At 43.7% G+C, this 18588-nt stretch overlaps 2 annotated features.

Moving 5' to 3' along the window:
• Positions 381-550: an enhancer, noted in NCBI's record as "experimental_8495 CRE fragment used in MPRA reporter constructs". NCBI's record gives its function as "activates a minimal promoter by MPRAs in K562 erythroleukemia cells, with activity observed for both the introgressed and non-introgressed 1:55973931 variant alleles {active_cell/tissue: K562}" and the evidence as "EXISTENCE:reporter gene assay evidence [ECO:0000049][PMID:34662402]".
• Positions 18217-18383: a silencer, noted in NCBI's record as "fragment chr1:55991682-55991848 (GRCh37/hg19 assembly coordinates)". NCBI's record gives its function as "represses an EF-1alpha promoter that drives an FKBP-Casp9 reporter gene in an ReSE screen in phorbol 12-myristate 13-acetate-treated (for megakaryocytic differentiation) K562 erythroleukemia cells {active_cell/tissue: K562(+PMA)}" and the evidence as "EXISTENCE:reporter gene assay evidence [ECO:0000049][PMID:32094911]".

Consider the following 18588-nt stretch of genomic DNA (forward strand, 5'->3'; position numbering starts at 1 on the left):
CTTCTCCTTTACTCTCTCCTATGCCCTGAATTGCTCCTCTCTGCTCTCTCTGCCTGCAAAGTTCTACCCTCTAAACTCCCCTGACCCTATTTTACTCCCGCTGTGCTGTGACTACCCTACTTCTCTTCCCCACCTCAACCCAGGTCAACTCCTTTTGCACTATGTTACCTCTCTCCCTTACACAACAAAGAAGTGATTGTAAATCTGATGAACCTGTTTTCACCTCCAAGCTGTGAGTTCCACAAGTGCAATGACTAAACTTGTTTTGTTTCATCCTCATATCTTCAATCTTAATAAAGAGACTTTGTTTTTTTGAATACAGAGTCCTCCTCTGTTGCCCAGGCTGGAGTGGCATAATCTCGGCTCACTGCAGCCTCCACCACCTGGGTTCAAGCAATGCTCGTGCCTCAGTCTCCCAAGTAGCTGGGATTGCAGGTGCACCACCATACCTGGCTAATTTTTGTATTTTTAGTAGAGATGGGGTTTTGCCATGTTGCCCAGCCTGGTCTGGAACTCCTGGGCCCAAGTGATCTGCCCGCTTTGGCCTCCCAAAGTGCTGGGATTACAGGTGTGAGCCACCACGCCTGGCCTTAAAGTGACTTTTTACATGGTTGACACTGAAACAATATTTGCTGAGTTGTGATGATAAACATCTAGCCCATTCTCGGTTCTGTCACTATTGATGCCCAAAGTTACTTCAAGACAACCCTACAACCATTCTCACCTGTAAAATGGGTACAATAATAACTACTTTGTGGTGGCATTATGAGAATCAGAGAAAAATTTGTAAAGTGCGCTTCACATACTTATTGATTTCATTTATGGAATGCCTACTCTTATTTTGAGGGTTTGAGGACAGAAAAATAATAATTTTTTTTCTAACACTGTGACCACCAGTCATGATGAATTTTTCAACATGGGCTAATGCCCACCAGAGATGCACAATAGCAAGTTCTTGGATCAGAGTTCTGTTTACACTTGGATGGTGAAGGAATATCAGTTGTTAGTTTTCAAATGAGACCTCCTCTTGGATGGCAGCACATGAAAGAATTGCCTGGGCACGGGTCCAAGGTTCTGTATGCAACATGTGTGGATGTTCAAATACAATTTCATTTATGCATGACCCCACCTGTCAAGATCCCACATCCAAATTAAAAATACAAAAGATTAGCTTTTATGGCAAAGAGAATGATAATAATTTGACAATATTAGTATTTGAAGTGATAATTTATGATAAAGAGAATAATTATGTACCATATTAATTACAGTCATGTAATTAATTGCATTAATTACAGTCATGTAATTAATTGCATTAATTACAGTCATGTAATTAATTGCATTAATTACAGTCATGTAATTAATTGCATTAATTACAGTCATGTAATTAATTGCATTAATTACAGTCATGTAATTAATTGCATTAATTACAGATGCTTAATTACATGTCCATGGGTTTCTTGTCTGAGGAGTCAACCAACAACAAATAAAAAATATTTGGAAAAAAACAAAAAAACAATATAACAAGAAAATACAAATAAACAACTAATAGTGAATAACAACCATTTACATAACATTTACACTTAACTAGGTATTATAAGTAATCTAGAGATGATTTAAAGTATACAGGAGGATGTGCATAGATTCTATGCAAACACTATGCCATTTGATATAAGGGGTTTGAACATCTGTGGATTTTGGTATCTGTGGGTGGTTCCTGGAACCAATCCTCCCTGGATACTGAATGATGGACTGTATTCCTTCCCCTTCTGTCCTTACATGGTCAACATTTTGTAGGGAACAGCAAAGGTGGTTTAAGATAAGACTCTCCTGGACAAGCACTGGAGAATTCTCTGGTTGCCAATCTTCTTACGAAAGCCTCCTAGAATTTTGGATTTAGGTGAAGCATTTCAGATGGTATCTTAAGGAATTCTTGGCAAAGTGTGTTGGCAGGTGACCTACAGGCTTGAAGATTAAAAACAGACTAAAAGATTATTAAGAGACTCCCTCCCAATGGCACACAATGTTGTAGTTTAAACTGTGCCCACGTACATTATCTTGTGTAATTTTGATGCAAAACTCTTATACGGTACAAGCTGGGATTATCCAACCCATTTTACAGGTGAGGAAAGGGGCTCATAAATTTGCCCAAGGTTGATCAGCTAGTGAATGGCGCTTCCAGGACTTAGCCTTGGTTTTCTCTCTCAAAGCCTTCTTTTTATTGTCTTACATTTACTTTCCTCAGGCAGGGCTGTGTTCCGAGTCCTTACTCTTAGCCCTGCCTTGTCTCTCAGTCTGGAGGTCTGAGGAGGGAGGGCTGCTTTGTACCTTCCCCACCCTTCTGTCCCTGTGAGTCCTGGTCTCCTGAAGTCTGCCCTGCCCACTTACCCAAGGAGAGCTCATCAGTCTTCTTCCATACTTGTTCTCATAGCACTTGTTCATCAAGCATGCTTTTGTGTAACAAATAGGTGCAGGGCAGTGTGGTTTGAGCCACAGAAAAATAACTTATCTATTTGTAAGTTTCTGCTTAATAACATGGTGTCAAAGGAGGGTGCTAGGTGGGGATGTGTCCACAATAATTAAAATCATTCTATGGACTTTATTTCTCATAACTGTGCACAGTAAGTATTCTTTTCCCTGTTTTATGGATAATGCAGTGCATTACAGGAAAAAGCAGATCCTGTCTGCATAGGGAAAGAGACTAGAGCATTTATTAAGTGCCTAGTATGTGCTAGTATTTTGCATATTTACAACTTATTAAATCCTCAAAACATCCTACGGAAGAAGATAGAAGTGATCCCATTCTACAGGTGAGGAAATGGAAGTTTAGCAAAGTGAAATAGCACGTTCATTTACCAAATAAGTGATAAAGCCCAAAGCCCATGATCTGGCCTAGGCTGAAATTTCAGGAAACTGCCCCCAAACAGAAATTTCTGCCCACAGGGCCTGTCTGATGAGAGGAGGTCAATCCAGACTAGAACAGCCCAGCAATCAGAGTACAGCCGGCAACTTTTAGACAAGGAAGAAGCCAGGGAATTAAGAGGTGTCAAACAAATAGGAAACAATTGGGATGTAATTATAAGGAAAATGCAGGCAAAATTCCAGGAAGCCAAACTCTTATAGAGTTGTTTACAAGGGAAGTAGTGGGAAAGCCATGCTCTGGCCTGAAAACCACATGTTCTGGAGAAAAATATCACATAGAATCACAGAAACCCTTTCAGGAAAAGGGCTTTCATTTATTTAGTTGATCAGTTCAGGCTTATTGAGCCTCTACCATGAACCTGTCCTCTCCTTGGCACTGCAGATTCAAAGTTGAAGAAGACTCAGTTTCTGCCCTCAAGTCACACATGGTTGAAAGGTCATGGAGAAAGAGGACACGTGTTACCATGGAGCACTGTGTGCCTACCAGAAAGTGCAAAATCTGAGGAATCACAGAGGATGGAACAACTCTGGGAAACCTGGAAAATCAGAGAAGACTACACAGAGTGGGTGACCCTTATAGGAGGAGAAGGCGTTCTCCAAATTAAGATGTGGGCAGAGCACATTCGAGGCAGAAGGATGAACACAGGCAAAGACAAAAAAGCAGGACTGTGGATGGCAAATTCAGGGACAGTGGGCAGCCATGGATTAGGTGCATGAAAAAATATATAATGTGGCTTTTCTGACTCTAATGCCAGTGTCACCCAGTCCTATGCTTGGAACACAGAGCACAGATGGCACAAACAGAGGCTGCTAAAAGAATGGCAAAGTATACAATGGAGAATCAAGCCCTTTGCTGCCGATTGATTTCCATTGAGCATTTCATTTCATCCGATGTTTCAATCAGTGCCACTGCAAGGAAACCCTTCAGTTAGGATGCAGTGAGGCAGGTAAGAACAGTGGCCTCTGGAGTCAGCATACCTGTGTCAGAACTTGGCTCTGTGGTTTACCAGTTGTATCATCTAGACTCTCTGTGCTTCACTTTCTTCATCTGTCAAATGGAGATAACGATGTACATACCAATCTCCTGGGACTGTTGTGGAGATTAAACTCGTGTTTATATTAAGCTATGTAATCTCCCTATCCAGGTCTTTTTGAATTTAATGGAATAAAAGAAGGACTGATTCTGCATATTTGTTTACAGTTCATGCCCAACCTTCTGAGGCACGGAGGATAAGTACTTGAATGATACATCGGAGATCTTCTAGTCTAACTTTCTGGGTTTGGAAATTTGGCCAGATTACTGTGTGATCTTGGACAAGTCTCTGAACGGCAATACCTGTCCTTCATGCCCTAGAGACCATGTGTGACCTAAAGCATCTGGTAGCAGTAGTGACTAATGGCCCCACAAAGTTTGGAGAATGAAACAGGCCCTGTTGTGTTCTACAAATATTAACTTGTTAACCTCTCCCAACAATCTCATGAGGCAGATACTATTATCACTTACATTTTACCAATAAAGAAACTGAGACAAAGAGAAGTTAAATGATTCTCCCCAACATCACACAGTTAGTACATGGTAGAGGCAAGATCTGAACCCTGGCAGTCTGATTCCAGAGCTGTGGGCTCCTCCACTCTGCTGATAACCATTGGAAGAATAACTATTACTTTTGTTACTTTCCCAGGGTCCTTAGGAAGGTTGGATAAGATCTTAGATATAAACAGCTCCTTCGTCACTTATGTAATTAAAACCTATAAAGTACTGCGAGCATGTCAAATTGTTATAGAGCATAAAGATGCGTAAAATGTATAAAATACATAATAAACAACCTGGAAAACAGTATAAAATATTCTCTCACTACCTCTGTCTGTTTGTCATTTTAAACTCTTGGCTTGAGCTGATCCTTGTGTTCCTGAGTTCCTAAGAACTGGCCATATAGCAGGGGTTTCTGGTTAATGTTAAACATCAAGAAACAATTACTGCCCTGGCTACTGTGAGGTGGATTGAGGCAGCTGGGCTCATTTCCCCTTCTCCTGGCCAGCCTCACTCTTGGCCATCCTCTAGAAGGAGGGCAGCTCATCTCAAGGCCAGAAGCTGGTCTCAGCAGGTCCTGAGAATCTCCAAAATTCATTTTGTCTCTATTTTCCCTGAAATCATCCTCTCTGGAACTTGTTTTCTTCTTTAGGGCATCTCAGCCTAATCTTGGAAAAAGCCCTTTCACAAGCAGCCCTGCAAGAACTACAGAGAAATATTGTGGCCCCAGAGTCAGGAAATCAGGGTACCTTAACCTGGGAGAATCTCAGCTCCTCTATGGGCCTCAGTTTTCCCTTTTGTAAAATTACAAGGTTGGATAGAGAATCTGGAAGGTCCCTTCTGGCTTGAAAACATACAATGCACCATCCATCTACTAGCAGTCATACTCTAAGTATACTACATTGGTGTCAAACACATTATATCTAGAACACAGAAGCTTGTCGAGGTAGAGCATTTTACCTGTCAATCTCCCCCTCCCCAATTCCCACTATGTTTCATAGGCATTTCTGGTGATACTTTTAGTGGTTTTAAAATAGGTTCACAAAATTTTGACACCCTCCCTCTAATATGTGAAGCTTAATTCCCCTTCCAAAGTTAGGTCATAAAAGGCATCACAGCTTCCACCTTGCCATTGCTCTGAAGGAAGCCAGCTACCATGTTGTGAGGATACTCAAGCAGCCCTATGAAGAGGTCTAAATGTGAAGGCACTGAGGCCCCTTGTCAATAGGTATATAAGTGAGCTACTATGGAAGCAGATTCTCCAGCCCCAATCACATCTTCAGATGACTGCAGCCCTAGCTGACATCTTGACTGCAACCTCATGAGAGACCCTGAGCCATGGCCACCCAGCTGAGCTGCTCCTAGATTTCTGGCTTTTAGAAATCATGTGAGATGATAAATATTTATTGTTTAAAGCTGTTAAATTTGGGGGTAATTTGTTACACAGCAATAGATAACTTACGTACTAGCAGTGGTTGCTGTTGTTAGTGATGGTCGTAGTGGAGTAAGCATAACCTATAACCCTGACTCTGTATCACTGTAATTTTCCTGTGTGGGGATTGATGGAATGATTGATGTATGTCCTTGGTCCAGAAAGGATTTCAAAAGGCCTAATCTGAAATTCCTTAGCTTCTACACCCAGGCTGAGCATACATCCAGATTTAAAGAATAATTCTGCCTCTGGACCAGTAAATATGAGTGGCATTATCTAGGCCAGCAGACTCATGACTTAGCATCATATAAATCTTGACCGGCTGGGTGCAGTGGTTCATGCCTGTAATCCCAGCACTTTGGGAGGCCGAGGTGGGTGGATCACTTGAGGTCAGGAGTTCGAGACCAGCCTGACCAACATGGTGAAACCCCTTCGCTACTAAAAAATACAAAAATTGGCCAGGCATGACGGCAGGCGCCTGTAATCCCAGCTACTCAGGAGGCTGAGGCAGGAGAATTGCTTGAACCCTGGAGGTGGAGGTTGCAGTGAACCAAGATGACACCGCTGCACTCCAGCCTGGGTGACAGAGCGAGACTCCGTCTAAAAAAAAAAAATCTTGATCACAGTTTCCTCTCTGAGTTTATCCCTATTCTGGTAATTCCTTTCCCCAACCTTGTCTTCTCCTTTATAACAATCACATTGGTCCTTGTGACCCTGAGAGAGCTCTGTGCTCAATTAGATAAGTCCGCCATGAGTGTGAGAGGGAGAGTGGTAGCACACACACCAGGCAGCATCCTCTGTTTTATTTTTATTTTCCTTTAAGTTCTGGGATACATATGCAGAAAGTGCAGGTTTATTACACAGGTATACATGTGCCATGGTGGTTTGCTGCACCTATCAACCCATCATCTAGGTTTTAAGCCCCAAATGCATTAGGTACTTGTCCTAATGCTCTCCCTCCCCTTGCCCCCCACCCCCTGACAGGCCCTGGTGTGTGATGTTCCCCTCCCTGTGTCCATGTGTTTTCATTGTTCAACTCCCACTTACGAGTGAGAACATGCGGTGTTTGGTTTCCCGTTTCTGTGTTAGTTTGCTGAGAATGATCATCCTCTGTTTTTAATAGGAAGCTTGTAGTTTATCTCTTAATCCTTCCCCTGTGCCACCTACTATTAGACCTCCTGTGGGATAATGTGAAGGATATGGTTTGCCATTGTAACTGTTGTGCATGTTCTCTAATGATTAAAAACGTCCCTGGTATTTGGAAACATAATTTATGAGCACAGTCAGCTCCAGGGTCTCACTGAGTCTCAGGGACTGCTGAGTGAGCTGTGTGGGGCTTAGTGTCAGCTCCTGTTGTATGGGAAGGAAAACTGAAGCTCAGAAAAGGCACACATTGCAAGGCCTGTCTCTGTCATTCTGTTTTATGGCTGCATGTCTGTCTTCAATACTATTCTATAGAGATTCAGGCTCATGAATATTTTAAGAGTTTGGGTTCAGCTAAAAACTAAAAACTTCTCCCTTTTCAACCACACTTCATGAGGTGGCTAAGTACATTTATAAGGAGTCTGGAGGACTTTGCCAATACAAGATGGGAGGAAGAGAAAGCGAGCGTGCGGTACTTGCAGGGTGTGTGATCGATAGGAGGTTTCCCCAGGGTTGTACCTCTCTGTCTTCCACTTTGATGTCATCATCATCATCAGAATAAAAACAAGGGCTCTCTGGCATCTCCCAAGAATAGTAGTTTTTCACATCTGGGTTGTCTTGTCACTTACAGAAGGCTTTCCTTCTCCCAACCCCCTTCATTTTTCACAGTATGCCCCTCTGAGACGTTTTGGTATTACTCCCTTTTATTGATGAAGAAAATGAGGCTCTATTATTAAAACTGACTCAACACCAACAGCAGGATTATCTATGTCATATTAACATTTCCCATTTCTTTCCTTAGGGTGTGAGGATGAATGTGTGGGAATGTGTGTGCCAGGTGTATACTTGTATGCATGAATCTTACAAGTACAGATGACTTAAGGTTCTTTAATGTCTATGCCCTATCCACCTTTCCTTCATTAGCTCTTATTATTTTTGTAGACTTAGGAAAAGAGGATTTTTGAAAGAAAATACTACACATTCGTTATAGATAATTTAGAAAGTATAATACATTAGTCTACTTAAGTTGTTATAACACACACCATAGACTGGGTGGCTTAAATAACGGAAGTTCTTTTTCGTGTAGGTTTGGAGACTGGAAGTCCAAGGTCAAGGTGCCGTTAGGGTTAGCTTCTTCTGAGGTTTCTCTTCTCAGCTTGCCAATGGCTGCCTCCTTGCTGTGCCTTCACATAATCTTTCCTCTGTGTGTGCACATTCCTGGTGTCTCTGTGTGTCCAAATTCCCTCTATTGTAAGGGCAATAGTCAGATTGCTTTAGGGCCTACCCTATTAGCCTCATTTTAACTTAGTCACCTCTTTTAAAAAGCTCTGTCTCCAAATACAGTCACATTCTGAAGTATTGGGTTTAGGCCTTAAACATGTGAATTTTGGTGCAGAGGGAATATAATTCAGCCCATAAATACAGAAAATGAGGAAAGTGTAGAGAATCATAAAGAAGATAAAAATCATCCGTAATCTCACTGCTAGGGACAATTTCTTTGCATATTTTGGAATGTTTCCTTCCAGTGCTTTAGAGTTCCCTGTGACTAATCTTGTGATTCAGGTGGGATAAAAACAATAACAAATAACAAACAACAACTGTTGCATTTATTAATCCTACCACATTCCAGGTATAATTTTAAGTGCTATAGATGTGTTAACTAATTTAATCCAGACATAACCTCCTGAGATAGGTACTGTTATTATCCACATTTTGCAGATGAGGAAAGTGAGAAGTAGGGGAGGTAAGTAATTTTCCCAAAGACACACAGCAAGTAAGTGATGAAGCCAGGGCTTGAACTCAGAGAGTGTAGGTCCAGAGTCCATGTTCCTAAGGTGCTCATTACAGGAAGGAGTATGGCTTCGGAAAAAGAAAGGGAGTGAAGTAGGATAAGAAGTTGGAAGCTGTTTGGCCACAGCACTCTGTCTTTCTGAGCAAGGCAGGAGTGAAAGCAACATAGGCTTTGGGGGCCAGTGAATCCAGCTTCGGGTCACAGCTCTATCATTCTCTAAATTGTAAATCAGAACAAGCTCTGCAGCTTTTCAATATCTTCATTTACAGATGTTGAAGTTGAAACTTTAAATTGCCTTTCAATGGTGCTGTGAGGAGGATAAATAATATACTTAGAATACCTAGCACATTACCTATGCGTAATTATTACTCAAGAAATAGAGGTTATTGGGGTTATTTATAAAGATCTTGCAAGTTCAAGGGATGACAAATTTCCAGAGGCAGCCCTGCTGGTGAGTGGCAGAGCCATTGCTAAGCAGGCGTTTGAAGAAATGAATGGGAGAGTGAGGGAAGGGATTCAAGGGCATCTGGCAACTGGGTGGTGCCTGTCCCAAAGCCTCCCTAGCCAGCTGCAAAATCTTTCAGGGAAGGGACATTTCTCTCACACTCATTCATTCGACAACTATTTCTTAAGCACCTGCGTGCCAGGCATTTTTCTAGGTATTTGGGCTACGTCAGTAAACAGAAGAGAGAAAAAGCTGCGCTGTCTTGGAACTTACATTGTAATGGGGGAAGATTGACAATAAACAATAAACACAATAAAAAATTAAAATATAGAGTACATTCTAAAACATTAAATGCTCTGAGAAAAATAGAGCTGGTTGGGGGGACTGGGAGTGCTGGGAGCAGGGCAGTTATTATATAATTTTAGAGAAGTTATCTTTTGACCAGAGGCTTGAAGGAGGAAACCATGCATATATCTTAGAAGAAAGAATTCTAGGCAGACAGACAATGCCAAGGAGGCCAGTGTGGCTGGGGTGGGAAGGACAGCAGCAGGGGTGAAGTCAGAGTGGCGACAGGGCATCCAGACATGTAGAAACTATAATCCATTGTTAAAACTTTAGCTTTGGCTCTGAGCAAAATGAGGAGCAAATGGGGAATTCTGAATCGAGAAATAACTTACCCGTCTTATTTTTCAAATGGATCATTCTAGTAGCTCTGTTGAGCGTAGACTGTCAGGGATAGGGCTGGCAACAGGCAACTGACCTCCTAAGATCAGTTAGGAGGCTGCTGGATAAACCAGGCTCAAGATGATGATGCTTCAGACTGGAATGATAACAGAAGTGGTCAGATTCTGGATCTGTTTTGAAGGTAAACCCTGTACGGTTTTCTAACAGATTGGATGCAGGATATGGGAAAAAGAGAGAAGTCAAGGATGACCCAAAGCTGCTGCTTATCTAACTGGAAGGTTAGCCTTGCCCTCAACGTGGATGAAGAAAAGTGGAAGTTAAGCAGGGCTTGGGAAGAAGATGGGGAGCTCACATTAGGAGTCTGAAATATCTATCATATATCTAGATGTAGTTGTTGAGTAGAGAGGTATGAGAGTCAGGGATTTAGGAGAGAGGGCTGGGATAGAGATGCATGTTTAGAAGTTTTCAGCATATGATACATAAATCTATAAAATTGGATGTGGATGAGATCACAAAGTATCTACCAGTTTTTACATCTATCCATCCAGCCATCCATTCATCCATCCATCCATCCGTCCATCCATCCATCCATCCGAGACAGAAGAGAAGAGATTTGAAGAGCCCTCTAGCCCTCCAACTTTAGGAGAAAGGGAGAAGAGAAGGAACCATCAGAAGAGACTGAAAAGGAGGCATCAATGACAGAGGAGGGGAATCAATAAAATGTTGGAAGCTGAATTAAGAAAGAGTATCAAGAAGGAAAGAGTAATCAACTGTGTCAAAAGCTGCTGTTAGGTAGAAGCAATTGACTATTGAGTTTAGCAACATGGAGGTCATTGGTGACCTCAACAAAGTTGTTTCCATGGAATGTGGGGTGGAAACATGACTGGAGAGGGTTCAGGTGAAATCAGAGGGAGGAAGGTGAGACAGGGAGAAGACAGAAACTTGTTTGAGGAGTTTTTCTATAAAGGGGAGCAGAGAAAGGGGGTAGTGGCTGGAGGGGCATGAAGAGTCAAGTCCAGGTTTTGTAAAGGTAGGAAAGACACAATGTGTTCACATGTTGATGGGAAAGGGAAAGGGGAAATTAGATAGTATAGGAGAGAATGTGTCAATTACTCCACTTGTGTCCTTGCAAAGTGGCAGAGGAAGTCTAGACCATCCGTGGCAGAACTGACCTCAGGTGGCAGCAGGACGGACCATCTAGAGTGTTGGGAGGGAAGGCAGGGCACACAGGACCGGATGTAGGGTCGGGATTGGAGAGAATGTATGAGTGTGTGGAAGTTAGCTTTGGAATGCATCTATTTTCTGTGACAAGAGCAAGCAAGGCCATTAGCTAAGAGAGAGGAGGAGGGAGGAGGTGTTGGAGGTTTGAAGAGACAGGAAAGGGTGTAGAGGAATCTTTAGTTTTTCTTCCTGTCCCTTGTATAGGATTTGACCCTGGAGAATTTTTAACAAGACCCAAGACATAGAATTGAAATGGATTTTTCTAATGTTGCCCTCCTCGGGGGGCACTGAGTTTGGAATTGGACAGAGTTTGAATCTTGGCTATACCACTCATTACATGTGTGCCCACCAGGAAGTCCTTATCCCCTCTTCACTTCAGGTTTCTCATCTAGAAAGAGGGAATTGAATAAGGTAACAAATGTTATGTGCTCAGGTAGTCCCTGACATATAGTAGATGTGAAAACAATGCTATCATCAGTTTCCCAGGCATTATCATAGCTTTAGCCCTCTGGACTGCATAATGACCTTGGAATCAAAAGAATTTGGACTGAACGACTTTTCCATTTTTGTATCTCAATGAACTAGAGATAATAGAATGAAGTTAAACTCACCATTAAAGGCTAACTCCTAATATTTTTTTATCTTAAAAATGGAAGGAAAGATGCTATGAGTTCAGATTTATTCCTCTTCAAGCAAATTGACAAGTTTTTCTATTTCTAAATTAATAAATGGTAGAGTGGACAATTACAAAAGAAAGACAAGCTGGGCAGCCACGCACTGGCTGGTGACTTTTGTGTAAGTTGCTTTACTCCTCCCAGCCCCAGTTCTTTCCTCTGCCCAATGGGAAACTTCAATCCCTTCTTTATAGGCAGGTGTGGGCCCTAAGGAAATAGTTGCTGAGACACAGATGTGAAAGCATTTTGCAAACTATGGAGTGCTCAAACACTCCCAGGATAGTGGTGGTAGCCTCTGCCTCCATGAGAACCAAGAAGAGCTTGTTAAGACCCTCGAGTGAGGCTGCAGCACATCAAAGCCCATAGTTGCTTCTGGAGAGAGTTTGAGAAGGGCCCAGGGCAGCCTTACATGCTCCCTTTTGCTCTGACCTTTAGTAACATTTCCGAATAAAACTGTGACATGTTGCTTATGTTTCAGACTAAAGATGAAGTAAAAACAGGTCAGGTTGCCCAGACCTAAACAAGGAGCAGATGGACAAAAATTGCGTCACTCCCTCCCATCTGTCTCAGTCCTCCAGGAGAAACCCTGGTGGGCATCATCCAAAACTTTGGTCCCCCAGACCCCTGATTTCTCTAGGCTGAGCAAAGAAGCAGATTCTGGGGGCAGATTATGGAGGGGCACAGATATCGGAGACTTGGAGACATATGGTCCTGGATTTGCATTCCAGCTCTCTCATAGTTTGTATATGAAAGCTGATCCTATATCCTGGTTTGCCTAGTACAGTCCCAGTTCAGCCCTACTGACTCTGTGGAATGAATATTAGCATCTCCTTTCCCTTTCGAACGTGTTCCTGTTTGGATGAGAAATTGCAATGTCATCCTGTAGATATGTGACCTTTGCTGCAATATCTTTTGAACCCCAGTTTCCACATCTGAAAAATGGGAATCATCATTTACATATTTCAAGATCATTGTTGATAATTTACACATGATTTAAATGGAAATGGAAATTAAATAAGACATAAAGTCTATTTATTTATTTAAAGACAGGGTCTCACTCTTTTCCCCAGGCTGGAGTGAGTGCTGGGATCGTAGCTCACTGCAGCCTTGAACTCCTGGACTCAAGGGATCCTCCAACTTCAGCCTGTTGAGCACTTGGGACTACAGGTGCTTGTCGCCACACCCTGCTTTCTTGTTATTGCTGTTTGTTGAGTTGGGGGTCTCACTTTGTTGCCCAGGCTAAAGCTGGTAATTTAATATCAGCATTGCTCTGGTTTATGCATCTATCATTTTTTTTCTTCAAAGTATTTTAACAAACTCTTAGCTGATTTTGTGACCTCCAGTCCAGTGGTTCTCAGATCTTAGGGAACATTAGAATCACCTGCAGGTCTTGTGAAAACAAACTGATGGGCCGCACTCCCAGATTTTCTGATTCAGTGGGTTTGTGGTGGGGTGAGACTGTGCATTTCTAACAAGCTCCCAGGTGAAGCTGTGGTCTGGGACCACAGTTTGAGAACCACTGATCCAGTTTCTCCCCATCCATCCATCTCTATGCTTCTGCCAGAATGATCTTTTCGAAACACTGATCAGTCCATACTGCTTACACTGCTTAAAACCTTCAAATGGCTCCCTAGTGGCCTCAAGAAAAAGCCTACCTCCTTAGGTGGGCACTCGAGACCTCACCCCTCTTACCTGTCACCCTGATCTCCAGGCGCAGTGCTCGGCTTGCTGGCCCAGGTAGCTTTCCCTCCAAGAGGCAGGCTGCACTAGGGAAGGGCACAGGCATCAGACAGGCCTGGGTTTGAATTCCAGCCCTGGCATGGGCTCTCTGCTGTGACTTTAGGCAAGTAACTTACCTCTCTTGTGCATATGGGAAAACTGAGGCTTAACAAGTTCAAGAATTCTTACCTCTATGTGGAGCTGGAAAAGCTAAATGAACTGTCTGGGGAGCATGTGCCATGCCTGCTCCATGGCAGGTGATCCTCAGCCTGATGTCTTCTCAGGGCCTGTCTGTTTAGTCTCTAAGACCTCACCCTGCTGTCTCCTCCCTACTGTGTGGCTTGCCTCCCTCCCCCTAGTTCTGATGGCTCTTGCTGACAGAATCTGTGAAGTACCATGTGAAGGGCACACACAAGGCCAGATCTCTGTGAGGGGATGGTCAGGGAGGACTTCCTGGAGGAAAGCCATAACAGGTTATCAGCCTCCAAGATGGTCCCCAGTGGTCCTGCCTCCTGGTACTCACTCCATTGTGTAGTCCCCTCCCACACTGTCCCTGGGTGGGACCAGTGGTATATGGCAGAAGTGATGATATGTCACTTCTAATATTAGGTTATAAATACTACTTTTCTGTGTTGGTGCCTCTTGCTTTCTCTTGATCACCTGCCCTGGGGGAAGCCAGCTGCCATGTTGTGGGGCTGTGGCCAGGAACTGAGGCCTCCCACCAACAGCCATGTGTGTCAGCCATTGAGAAAGCAGATCTTTCAGCTGTTGTCAAACTTTTGGGTAACTGCAACCTCATGAGAGACCCTGAACCAGAACCATCCAGCCTAGCTGCTCCTAGATTCTGGATGCATCAGTACCATGTGAGATAATGAGTACTGTTCCAAGTTGCTAAATTTTGGACTAATTTGTTATTCAGCAATAGATAACTAATACATGAGGCTTGGAAAAGTTAAAGGCACACAGATTGTAAGGAGCAAAGATAGAAATGGATACCTGAATTTTTGGCTCCCTCGTCCTTGCTAACACACTGTAAGGTAAGGGGATGTGCTTTGGTCAAGGAATAGGCTGAGGCAGACATCCAGGCCAAAGTGACTGAGCGAGTTTAGGGTGCAGGCACATACTTCACTTGTTATATAACCTGTTTGTGCAAGCTCATCGCCTGGCTCAGAGTTACTGTTGTCTGTAGAAGGTACCACTGCCCAGCTGACACTGTGCAGGCACTCTTGGGCATGGCTCAACATGGCTTTTGCGCAGATGCTGGCACCCAGACTGAGAGTGAAGCTACTGACCCCTATCAAGGAGAGTGACTGTCTGGCAGATGGACAGGAGGGAGCCAGGAACCGGCTTGTGCCAAGGGAGAAAGAGTTATGCTGCTGACCCTAAAGATAAGGGAGAGCTGGCCACGCAGGTGTGTGTGGGAGCACACAGAGCAAGCAGCTGACTCAAAGCGGAGAGTGTGAGAGAGCTAGTGTAATTAAGCTGCTGATGAGAGAGCTTCTGAATAAAACTACATTTCACCTGCTGATGGCCCCCCAAGTGTTTTTTCAGCTATCACCCACCCACCCACTCCCCTACAACCTCAGCATGAGCTGGAACCTAACCCTGAGCGTGACATTTGGTGTAGTCATGGCCCTGGACCTAATACACACCATGTTACCTGAGCCAAGACTACCTTTGATGATTGCAGGACGCAGGAAGAGGTGAGGAAAAAGAGGAGGAGAGAAAAAAGGCCCTCCAAAACCAGTTGGAGAGAGGCTATGAGAAAGGTATGCCTGAAACCACAAATCTAACAGCCAGGTAGAAATGAGAAGCTCAAAGTCTACACCCACCTGTTGCTTCCACTGCTCCAAGATTGCAACTACTCACCCTCCTGCCTGGGTCCTGTCTGTGATCAGAGGAGGAGATGGGTTCCCAGGCTGTAGGCATCTCCAGGCCAGGAAAGCCTTGAAAAGGCTTGTTCTGATCAGCCTTTGCTTGTTTCCACAGCCGTGCAGCACCCAGGGCCTCACAAGCCAGGAGGTGAATTGTAATGAGCATTTATTCATCTTCTACTGTGTGCCAGGCACTGGGCTAGATGTATGATTTAATTCCATGCTTAGAGGAGACCTGAGAAGTATGTACTTTAATACTCATTTTACAGATAAAATCAAGCTAGATTCGAAGAGCTCAATCTGTGTAAAGTTCACCGACAGCTGTTAAGGATTTGAATTTAGTTCCGTTCCACCAAGGTCTGAGGCAGTGCCCCCCACAATGGGCTACATGAATGAATAAGGAGTCAGAGTTCAGAGACCCTCATTCAAACACATGTTTTAAGGTGCCCATTACATGCCTGACACTATGGGGATAAGGAAGCAACAGGAGTGGAGTCCCTGTCTCAAGAGTTGATTGGGGAAGACATCACACGATATCATATTTGTTTGTTTACCTGGGACAGAGGGAAGCACAAAACGTTGTGAGAATTGAGGCCTGAGCTTAACCTATGATGGGCAATCAGGGAAAGCTTCTTGGAGGAGGGAATACCTAAACTGAGGCCTCTTACAGAGAGGTTGAAGTTAGACAAACAAGAGGAGTGAAGGGTGTCAAGGTGTATGTACAAGCCAGGTTTAAGAGAGCTGGGTATTCTTCAGAGCCTTGCTCCTCCAAATGTGCTTCCAGGCTGGAGCGGCAGCTCTGGCATCCCTTGGGAGTTTGTTAGGTTTGGTCCACCCCAGATCTACAGAATCAGGATCATAATCAGGTGGTTTACCTGCACATTTAAATCTAAGAAGTGCTGCTGTAGAGGGAATAAACATGTGTTACAAACCATATAAGAGAGCAAAGTACACTTCTGATGCATGAACCTGTGCAGCAAGGGTAGGGTAGCGTGCCATGGGATGGATGCCAGGTGTGAGGCGAAGCAGTGCGCCCAGGATAAAATGTTCTCAGGCCCAGGACATGTGGCCAGGTCTAATTTTTAAATAGAAGACAAATATCTGGTTATTTATGAAAAATCTGCTGATTTAAAGATATAAATTAATTTAAAAATTAAAAATATTCTAGTGGATCAAAAAATCATGACTTTGGGCTGTTAGTTGATAGCTTTTGGCTTCTGATTGTGAGCACAGCACCTGTATCTTTATAACCTGGTGTTGAATGAATGAATTAGGTGGGAAAGGATTGGAATATTCCTCCAAGGCCCGCAGAGCTGGCTATTTCTCTTCACATACTTTTCCACCTTTGGCCTCAGTTTCCTCACCTAAAAGCCAAGGGTTCCAGTTGATGATTTCTAAGGACTTTTCCAAATCAGCCTTGGTAACCCCAGGAGAGGGTCAGAATATCTTGCACCAAGGGGTGGGATCAGTGGTACTAATGCAGAGACAGCTGTTGGGTGCTGTCCCCTTGGGGAAGCCAGAGCTTTCTGTGCGTGGTATGTTCTATCCTTCCCAATGGGGACCGAGCTGGTCACTGGGTGGAAGAAATGAGCCTCCTAATGCAGTTTTTCTTTCATCTAGGTTGAAGCTTTATAAAACACCAGGGCCCCTCTAGACACAGAGGGAGATAGCAAAGGAGGCAGGCCTGGGCTTTTAGCCTTTGCAGGCTCATGCTGCCCCTGCGTCTGTTGCCCCTTCCAGTGCTGCCTCTCCTGTCTCTGCTGCCTGTTCTGGCTGAGGCTGCTCTTACCACTCAGTTCTGAGCTTTCCACAGCCCTGCCCATCTTCTTGCTGCCCTCACCTGCTTCTCTACTGCTCAGAGGAATCCTATCTCCATCTGACCCTTTCTCTAGAGGAGAGGATTTAGGCTCAGGCCTAACTAAGAGATCATGTTACCAATGAGATCGTGGAGGAGCTCATGATTCCACGTGAGAGGCTGTTGGCCAAGCTTGGGAGACAGCAGGGCTGGCAGCATAGGGGCAGATTCGCATTCCGCAGACCTGGGTTCAAAGCTTATCAATGTCATCCACTCCCTGAGTGTCCTTGGTTGAAACTTTCATCCGTGTGGGCCTCAGTTTATTCATCTGTAAAATGTAGATAATAGCACAGCGCTGTGTAGGTTGTGAGGATTTTTAAAAAGTCACTCACATTTATTTAGCATTTACTATATAAAAAGCACTACACAAAAGACCTTACTTGCCATATTGCATTTAATTCTCACAACAGCCTCATAGCTAGGTGTTATTATTATGCCTATTTTACAGATGGGAAAACTAAGGCAGTAAAATTAAGCAAATTGTCTGAGGTCTCACAGATAATAAGTGGTAGAGACTGAATCAGGTGCAGGGGGTTCTGATTCCAGAGCTAACACACATGACCATAGACACAGATAAACTTAAAAAAGGTTTCAAACCTGACCCCTACCCTCATTTAGCCTCAATAGGAGGTTTAATGGGCCAGACAGTGTTAGATGGCCAACTTCATGTTTATAGAAATCCTTTTTGTGAAGAGTTTTCAAAAACTTTTCACTGACACGATCTTACTTCCACCTCCCAGCAACTCTGTGGGGGTAGGTATTATTCTGTTTTACAGATGGGGCAACTGAGGCTCAGAGAGCTAGTCAACAGCTGAGCCAAGACTTGAATCCATTTCTCCTGACCCAAAGCATAAGCTTTTTCTGCTTCATCATCTGCTTGGCATTTGTCATTGTCAAGGAATAAATGAATTATATTAATTAGTCACATTAATAGCTCAGTGAGCAGAAGGACTCAGCAAAAGTTGATCTTGGTGGCAGGGGGAAAGATACATAACTGGGGTTGGACCACAGGTTGCTGTCTCAGAAGGGTGGGCTTGGGCAGAACGATGACACAGAACAGGAGATGGACAGCAGAGTTGTGAGCTGGATATCCCTGAGGCTGGGGATTGTTTGAAGGATATTGAAGGTGGGCGTTGCTGGTTTCCTCATTTCAGATTCTTAGGGGTCTTTATGCCATGGCTGTGGTTTAGACAAGGATGGAAGCACTCAGTACAGGGCATGGAAGAGTACATTTTTTAGGCAGGTCAAAAGGGCTAAACTGAGGTTCAAAGCATTAGCCTGTTGGGTCCAGGTTTTGCG

This window comes from Homo sapiens, chromosome 1 (assembly GCF_000001405.40).
Source record: "Homo sapiens chromosome 1, GRCh38.p14 Primary Assembly".
In the NCBI taxonomy this organism is placed as follows: Eukaryota; Metazoa; Chordata; class Mammalia; order Primates; family Hominidae; genus Homo; species Homo sapiens.